At 40.7% G+C, this 9,289-nt stretch overlaps 1 annotated feature.

Moving 5' to 3' along the window:
- Positions 1,114-1,314: a silencer, noted in NCBI's record as "peak7430 fragment used in MPRA reporter construct". NCBI's record gives its function as "represses an SCP1 promoter by STARR-seq MPRAs in K562 erythroleukemia cells {active_cell/tissue: K562}" and the evidence as "EXISTENCE:reporter gene assay evidence [ECO:0000049][PMID:32103011]".

Here is a 9,289-nt window from a genome sequence, read left to right as displayed (position 1 = left end):
CTGTAATCCCAGCTACTCAGGAGGCTGAGGCAGAAGAATCGCTTGAACCTGGGAGGTGGAGGTTGCAGTGAGCCAAGATTGCACCACTGCACTCCAGCTTGGGCAACAGAGTGAGATTCCATATCAAAAAAAAAAAGATAACATCAGGAGTTTTTACAGAGTCTCTGGGCAGCAGAGGAAACCTCCCATTTCATTGATCTATTCATTTAACAAGTATTTATTGAGCACCAACTATACACCAAGCACCTGGGTACCAGAAATGCAGCACTGGGGATGAGAGGAGCAGACAAAAATCTCCAATCTAATGGAGATTACATACTGTTGGGTACGCATTTGGTGAACAAAGGTAAACTGCTCTGCATATGTGTGGGAGTGCGTATTCTGCTTATGTTCAGCTCCCCAAGGAAGGTCTGGCAAGTAGAGATGCTGGGTTCCTTCCAGATTCTGTAACTTTTGTGGGGAGCTGTGCTAGATGGATATATCAAATCACTGATGAAACTGCTTTGACCCTTAGGAGAAGTTTGAGTTTTCCCCCAAACACCTACCTTGCCTTTCAGGACTTAACGGCTATAAATGGAATCATTCTGGTTCTCAGGAACCATAATTAAGCTCCTCTGGTTGCATGTTCAAATCTTGAGAGTGCCCCTTGGGCATTTGGAGAGCATTTAGCACACTCAGCAGCCTCTGCAACAGAAGCCAAAGTGGCAGCGGGAGAGCGTTCCATAAAAGCAGCTCTCTTCCTAGAGCCCATTATTAGAATGTGTTAACTACATCCTCTTTGCATCTGGTACACGGCAATTCAAGGGTGACAGAGGCAGAATGGAAATGGGACCCATAAAAATGTTCTGCTATCTGTAAAGTTAAGAAGTTGGTCTTTATTCTCACTTGTCCCCTGGAAATCAGGTTTTTTCCTGCCTGAGTATTAGACACTTAAGGAAGCCACACTATTCTCAGAGTGAGGCATTATATGCAAAACACTTACTACAGTTTCTGGCAAATCATAAGAATTCAACAGATGACAGCTATCATCATCATCATCATCCTCATACTAGCATTCCACCATCTTACAGATAATAAGGCACTATAGAAGAAAACACTTTGGATTGAGATTTAGAAGTTCAGGTCTGTAATCTGGTTTTGTGAGTAATTAGTCACGGAATCTGTGGGGAGCTCACTTAATTTTAAGACTGGGATGACTCATGTGGCATGATAACAAGCTGAGTCTTTGGCAGTATGAGTTAAGGAGGAGGGAGGAAGTAGAAAGAATCATGAGTGGGGCAGATTGGGGCTAGGAAGTAAATCATCCCATTGCATAGTGTTACTGGATATTCAGAATCACTCTTCAGCCTGCCCTGTGCCACTGCAGGCTGACCTATATGGATTACAATAATGGGCTCCGTTGCTTTCTGACCCCTGATTATGTTTGGCACCAAATGGAGATTGGTAGGTAGGAAGAGAATGAAGTTGGACTGTTTATTCCCCAGGCTCTTTCTTGATGGGCCAAGTATTGGCAGTGGCTGTGTCCCTCTACTGAAGACCACAGCTCTTATAAAGCCACTCTTTTCATACTGTTCCCTCTTCTTGGCCCTTCAGGCCTAGAGGGGTAATGGCTCCCTGCTGTTACTATCTCTAGGGTGCGACCCCATCTCTTGTTCCTATACTCTACCCATACTTTTCTAAATAGCCTCTTTATGAAATGCTCCCCAGATTACTCACTTTGAGTGTGCCATCTGTTTCCTGTCCAGACCTTGATGGATAAACCTCAGTGTTTTTAAACTATATCCCAAGCCCCTAGCACAGTGCTTGGAACATCGTAGGTACCCAGTAAAGATTAGTTAGATCAATATATTAATGAACTTTAATTAGGATAGTGGAGTGGTCCAAAGGACTTAGGTAACTCAGGTATAAGTCTGAGTATCATCAGTTCTAGGAGGACCAGTCTGGTAGATGGAACACCCTAGGGCAATGGGGTAGGATTTTGGGAGAACAGGATCCAGCTTTCAGAAGAAAGCTGGCAAAAACTGAGTAAGGATAGTATTTAAGATCCTAGTCACAGACTAGGGTTCAAGCAGGGCCCAATTATGTGTATTTAAGGCCAGAAAAAGCAGCAACGCAGAGTTCAACTTAACCATTGGGGTTTTGAGGGGGAAAGAGTACCCTGACTGGTCAACTTAATGTCTGGGATCTATGGTGAAGGGATGAAGGAGTCTAATTCACTAGGCTAGCATAGTTTGAGGACTCTAAAATATTCATTCATGTACGATATTTATTGAGCTCTTTGCTCTGATTTTGGCACTCATCAAACAATCTTCAGGATCTCACTCAGTTTCCATCATCTTCCTTCTTGGGGAAAGAATGCACAAAGTAGCCAATAGCTCTGTTTTTCAGTATAAAACAATGAGGGTCTGTGAGTGTAGGTGCTAAGGGCATCGGCGTTAGAATCAGACAGATTTTATATAAGAATCCCAACTTGACCAGCTTGGGCAAGTCATAACCTTTCAGAGCCTCTGTTTATTTAAAAAATGAAGGTGATGAAAGTGTTGCCATGAGTGTGAGATAATTCGTGTAAAGCACTTAGAATGTCTCTTGGCATATAGTAAATATATAGTAAATCAATTTTAGTTTATTTATTTATTTATTTATTTATTTGAGACAAGGTCTTGTTCTGTCGCCCAGGCTAGAGTGCAGTGGTGCGATCACAGCTCACTGCAGCCTCGACCTCCCGTGCTCAAGCGATCTTCCCACCTCAGCCTTTCAGGTAGCTGAATTACAGGTGTGTGCCACCAGGCCTCGCTAATTTTTGTATTTTTGGTAGAGATGGGGTTTCACCATGTTGCTTTGGCTGGTCTCAATCAAACTTTGGGCTCAAGTGATCTGCTTGCCTCCGCCTCCCAAAGTGCTGGGATTACAGGCATGACCCACCGTGCCCAGCCCCTGGTTTATCATTTATATTAATGTGTATCTTTTTGATTTATCATGGGTCAACCCCTTGGAGTCTAATTAGCCCTACAGCAACACATAAAATTAAGTTTCTAAACGTGCAAAACTGAGAAGGAGCCCCACGATCTGTGGCAGCATCTTCATGGTGCTACTGCAGTCTTTCCCTGCCATATTTCTGGGCCAATCACTAGCACTGGCCAATGGAGAACAGTTATCTATCCCCTAGGCTTCCCCCAGCCTTTGTGTCTGTAACAGTGCTTATCACTTTTTACGTGTCTGTTTTCCCTACTGGACAGTGAATTATGTGGAGGCAGGGCTAGGCATAAGAGTAAAGTCTCAGAAATGCTTGAAAATTTTTTAAAATAAAATTTCATTTGCACACATCTTCCTAGGACGTCAGCTTCTTCTGAAGAATAAGCTGGGCACTTCATTCAGGATGTTGGGGCACTTGCTTTTCTCCTCTTATTCCAATCCCTATTTCTTCTATTCCCAGACACCTGCCCCCTGCTCTGACAAGTGCTGGAAAGCAAATATGGCAGAAATAAATACCATTCAAGCAGTGCCTACACTGCAGGGGGCCCATAAAAGGAGAAGGCCCCTCTAAACTGGAGACCTGTTTATTTTGCAATTAGCAAAAGGTCAGTAGGCCTGGTATAGAATCCAAGTGTTACTCTGCTGTGTTAGCAAGAATTGTGGGTTGGGAAGTTATTGCTGGGGATTTGGAATTTTTATTATGAATTCCAGGAAACCAAAGGTTTCTGGGTAATATGCAAATCACAGGAAAGTACTCTGCCATCCTTTGACCAAAAGTTAGCTCCTTTTTGGCGATATAATAAGGTCAATAGGTCATGGGAGCTCTACTGGGTTACCTTAAAATGACCCCTTTTGAGGATGTAACAGATTATTAATCAGGAGCCATATCAAGGAGCTATGGCTAGGGTGGGGCAAGTCTTTAACCTTTGACTTAGGAGCTGGGAATTTACAGTTCTCTTTTGTCTGCAGAGCCCTAAATTGGCTTGACATAACTCTAATAGAAACATTTGTTTAGCTGTTGCTCTTTTTATCATAAGGAATCATGGGATATCATCCATTCCAGAAAGTTTATTGAACACCTACTATGTACCAGGTATTGAGCTAGAGTGCATACACACAAATAAATAAAACCCTGTCCTCAAGGTACTTAAAGTCTAGTGGGGCACACAGACATGAAAACAAAAAGATACAATCAATTGTTACAGGTGACATGATGGAGTATGTTCGGGGCATAGTGAGACCTAAAGATAGGAGTAGCCCACTGTAGCCAGGTAAAGTGTGAGGAAAAGGAAAGGCTTCATAAAGGAGGTGGCCCATTTCAACTATACAAATAAAAAGAACCATTTCAATAAGAAAAGTGCCTCCCTAAGATTCACTCACACTTGTTTTGGCCACAGCATCTTTGATTCTGCATTTATTTGAGCCCTCTTCTACTGACTTAGATCTACTTGTACTTTGAAAATTAGTTTTGAAGTCTTAGTTGTAAGATTGTACATCTCAAATTCATTGAATTTGCCTTTGAAGCTAAAATGCTGATGCTCTTCTATTCCTCAGTTAATGCATATATTTGGTTGCTTGACAACGGAACATTTCTGTACTACCTGTGTCATCTCAGACCAGAAACTTCTTGGAAGAGGAATCCCTTTGTTTTTATAAACTGCCTGATAAGCTTTGAAAGCTTATTTCAAGAGGTGCATGCTGGGAGGTGAGGGATGAGAAAGTATTTGGGCTGCAAAGCCCAGTTCAGAATAACTTCCTCCTAGCACCAAACTGCCTCAGACCCTCAGTCGCATTTCTTACCTACTGCGAGCCAGGGAAGTTCATATTACCACAGCCTTGACATTCCCTTTCTATTGATGAGAATGAAAACCAGAGCAGCATCTCTGTTTCTATTTTTATTCCTGGGTCTCTCAAAATGTTTTCTCAACAGCAAGTCACAATTCCTGTGATGAAGAAAGCAAATGCAACTATCAATCTATCTATCTATCTATGAAGCCAAAGACCTTTTATAGTTTCTGAACCTAGCTTGATATCTTCCTTAGAAACTAACCATTCCACACAAACTGGAACCCTCGGTGTGATGGGCTTCTACAGGCCTTTACAGCTGAAGGGCTCTTTGTCTGATTTGAAAAACTAGATTATCATTTAAATATTCTCTTTCCACATGTCCCTCAAATAGATCATAGCTATATTTTCTTTACCATGTGGCTTATAGCTTGATGATCTTGGAAAGTATTCAAAAGTAGCACATAACAGGTATTGCAACCAAGGGATGTTTCCAAGACAGTGACTGGCCAGAGCATCTTCTAGGATACTTCCTTTTTAAAAAAAGTTTTGGAAAAAAACTTAATTGACAAATAAAAAATGTATGTATTCAAGGTGTACAACATGAGGATTTGATATATATTTACATTGTGTACTGATTACTGAAGTTAAATTAACACATCCATCACCACCTGTAATTGCCATTCTGTGTGGAGAGGTGGGGTGAGGACACTTAAAATCTGCCCTTTTACCAAATTTCAAGTAAACAATCCAGTGTATTATTAACTATAGTTACCACGCTGTACATTAGATCCCCAGAACTTATTCATTTTATAACTGAAGGTTTGTACCCTTTGAACAACATCTCCCCATTTCCCCAACCCCCCAACCTCTGGCAATCATTGTTCTACTCTCTGCTTCCATGAGTTCAACTGTTTTAGATTCCACATACAAATGCCATCATACAGTATTTTTCTTCCTGTGTCTGGCTTATTTCACTTGACATAATGTCCTCCAGGTTCATCCATGCCATGGCAAATGGCAGGATCTCCTTTTTTAAGGCTGAATAATATTTCATTGTGTGTATATATATATATGTGTGTGTGTGTGTGTGTGTGTGTGTGTGTGTGTGTGTGTGAAATTTTCTTTATCCATTTATCCTTCAATGCATGTTTAGGTTGTTTTCACGTTTTCACTGTTGTGTATAATGCTGCATGAACATGGGTGTGCTAATATCTCTTTGAGATACTGATTTCGTTTCTAGGATCCTTCTAAGCCATCCCACTGATGAGTATTTGTGCTTCCTGTACTTGTTGAATGTAAGCTAATTTAATTTTACATTAGCCTAATAATGACTTTCGTGATGACAAAAGAGAGTCAGTGTAAGGAAAACAAAGCCGTTGAGCACCAAGCAAGAAAGTCAGCGTCCATTCTTGTTGTAATCTAACTTTGTAGTGAGAACCAAGGTAAATAATAAATCGAGAGAAATTGTCACCTATTGATCCTAATAGTAAGATGTCAAGTGATGTGTCTCAGAGAGAGAGAGAGAGAAAGAGAGGCAGAGAGAGAAAGAGATCCCCTCTTTGTGTTTACCATTTGCAAACTACTTGAAAATCTGCCTCAGCAAAATCTCATCTATTTGGACTAATGGGGGTGGGGGCAGGCAGAGCAATCTGAATTAGTGACAGGTTGGAATTCTGGAATGTTTTAAAACATGCCCTTTTATTAGTTGAAGTCTATGTGTACCATAACTCAAACTAACTGCTCACAGTGGTTCCCAAGAGAGATCCTCAGAGACTTGCTTTCATGAATAGATAAGACCCATTTGTTATTAGCAGTATTCACTGACTCGTAAACAATGTGCTAAAGTCCTTAGAAACAGTTTGTTCCTTTAAGATGAAAAGGCATTTGTGATGTGATTTAAAGAATCCTGCCCAGCAAACTTTACCCTCATGGAGAATGCAAAGATCTTTCTCTCTACAATCTCACACACACAGTTGGTGGCACCTGAGGGACTGAGGTATGACTGTACTGATGGGGTAAGGTAAAGGGGGTTCACCCTGCTGTCTCTATTAAGAGATGCATAGAATGTAAAGTTGGGAGAAACATCCTATCCCTACCCCAGCCTCTGCAGCGTAATTCTGGCAGCAGGAATGGAGACCATTACCTGTGGAGGCTGGTCAGTACTAATATTTGGAAATGGTTTTCCTTGACTCTCCATTACTTGATGGGCAGACAGCTCCTCTAAGTCTGTGAGTGTGGACTTGCTACATCAATATGTGTTGTCTCCCCAGCCTCGTCTACTTGGGCGTGAAAGGGGGAAGTTGATCTTGGTTGCCCATCCATCTTCTTTCTTCTCCCATTGCTTCCTCTCTCATCTTGGACCCCCATAATATAAAAAAAAAGGGAGGCTAACTGTTAGCTAGAAAACAATCTTGTCCCTTTCTGGGTTCTTTGTCTACTCATAAGGAATTGCGGAAGTTCCTAATCCTTAAAGAGTCAAAAGAAAGAGCTAAAATATCAGAACATATGACAAGCAATGGAGTTGATATATTTTTGAGAAATGGATCACCAATAGTATTTAGTCAAATCACACTGTGTGGACAGCCTGCCCTCCCTCCATCCCAAAATGCACTCACCTTTGCTCTGTTGGGTAATGTAAATATTCAGCTGCCTCTCCATATCTAGGCTGAATGTTTGTCTTCTCTTGTCTGTATGGCCTTGACATGCCTGGCCACATCATGAAGGGTCTGTATTACAATGTAAACTCCAGCAAAGGGTTTGTGTTTGTTAATCTTTGTACAATTCTCAGAAAAAAAGAATGTTTAATAAGTGGCTTTAAAAATTTTCTAATTGTGGCAAAATACACATAACATAAAATTTATCATCACAACCATTTCTAAGTGTACGGTTTAGTAATAAGTATATTCATATTATTGTGCAACCAATCTCCAAAACTGTTTCATTTTGCAAAACTGAAACTCTATACTCATTACACAGTAACTCCCCATTCCTCCCTCCCCACAGTCCCTGGCAACCCCCATTCTACTTTCTGTCTCTATGAATTTGACTACTCTAGATAACTCATATAAGTAGAGTCATATAGAATTTGTCTTTTTGTGACTGGCTTATTTCACTTAGCATAATGTTCTCCACGTTCATCCATGTTGTATCATGTATCAGAATTTCCTTCCTTTTTAAGGCTGGATAATATTTCATTGTATGTATATACCATATTTTGTTTCTCCATTCATCTGTTGATGGACACTTGGGTTGCTTCCACCTCCTGGCTACTGTGGATAATGCTGCTATGAATACTGACATATCTATCTGTTCGAGTTTCTGCTTTCAATTCTTTTGGGAATATACCTATGAGTGAAATGGCTAGATTATATGTTAATTCTATTTTTATTTTTGGTAGAGATGAGGTCTTGCTATGTTGCCCAGGCTGGTCTTGAACTCCTGGGTTCATAATTCTATTTTTTAATTATTTGAGGATAATGATGTTTTTCAGTGAGACTGAGGAGAAACATAAACTATATGCATTATTATATTACAGTGTCTCCCATTTCCCTACGTATCTATTGAGTACCTATCATGTGCTTAGTGCTATTTCTAGTAGGACTTGGGACCCTATGGTTCCTTCTTTTCTGTCACTAGAATCTGACCTCCATGGGGGTAGGGATTTTGTCTATTTATTTCTTCTTTACTGCTGCACGTCCAGGACCTAGGATAGTGCCCAGCATTCATTCATTCTTTTGTTCAGCAAATAATTATTGAGTACCTAGTATGTACCACGTACAAAATGATTATGAAAGGGATTATGAAAGTCAATTAAGAAACCAATGTTTCTTTTTTGCTTGGCTAATGGGCAGAGTTGATGAAAGGAGGCAACAAGGTCTTTTCTGATGACTTTGTGCCCCATCAGCTAAATGTTAACAACCCCTTTACTTGCAAAGGAGGATAGGGGTAAATTTAGGACTGGAAGAGAACAACTCAGCTAGAAGAGAAGATCAATGGAGGCAGAAGCCCTTTCCAACTGATCCTGGATGGACAACTGTTTATTCACCAATACTGAAGCCATTTTTTAATTTGGAGGAGAGCAGAAAGTAGCTCCTGATTATCCACATCAACTGTTTATTTTAACAGGCCACAATCACAATCAACTCTTGCCTGAAAATTTTTTTTTTTTTGCTTTTTCACTTTTGCCTCAAATTTGGGTGCAGAGGTGGGGAACCACTATCGTCTAAGCAGCAACTTCAAATTAGAAGACTGAACAAACTCAACTAAATGTTACCTGGTACCCAGTCAATCCCACTTAGTTCAATAAGGTGGTATTTACAGAATATTCTCAGGGCTCTCTGGAGTTCACAAAATGGTGCATTCAGTTAACAATGTCCATTTAAGTCTCTTCCTTTAAACTGGCATGAGATATGCTATTGGAGAAATTCAGCAGGTTAAGGGGCTGGCAGGAACTATCTAGACTCCTTTCAGTTAAGCCCTCAAAGGCATTTTGCAGTCCTACGCTGGCCCCCAATATGCCAGTGTGGAG

This window comes from Homo sapiens, chromosome X, assembly GCF_000001405.40.
Source record: "Homo sapiens chromosome X, GRCh38.p14 Primary Assembly".
In the NCBI taxonomy this organism is placed as follows: Eukaryota; Metazoa; Chordata; class Mammalia; order Primates; family Hominidae; genus Homo; species Homo sapiens.
The sequence above is the reverse complement of the archived record's forward strand: the minus strand, read 5'-3'. Positions and strand labels throughout refer to the sequence as shown.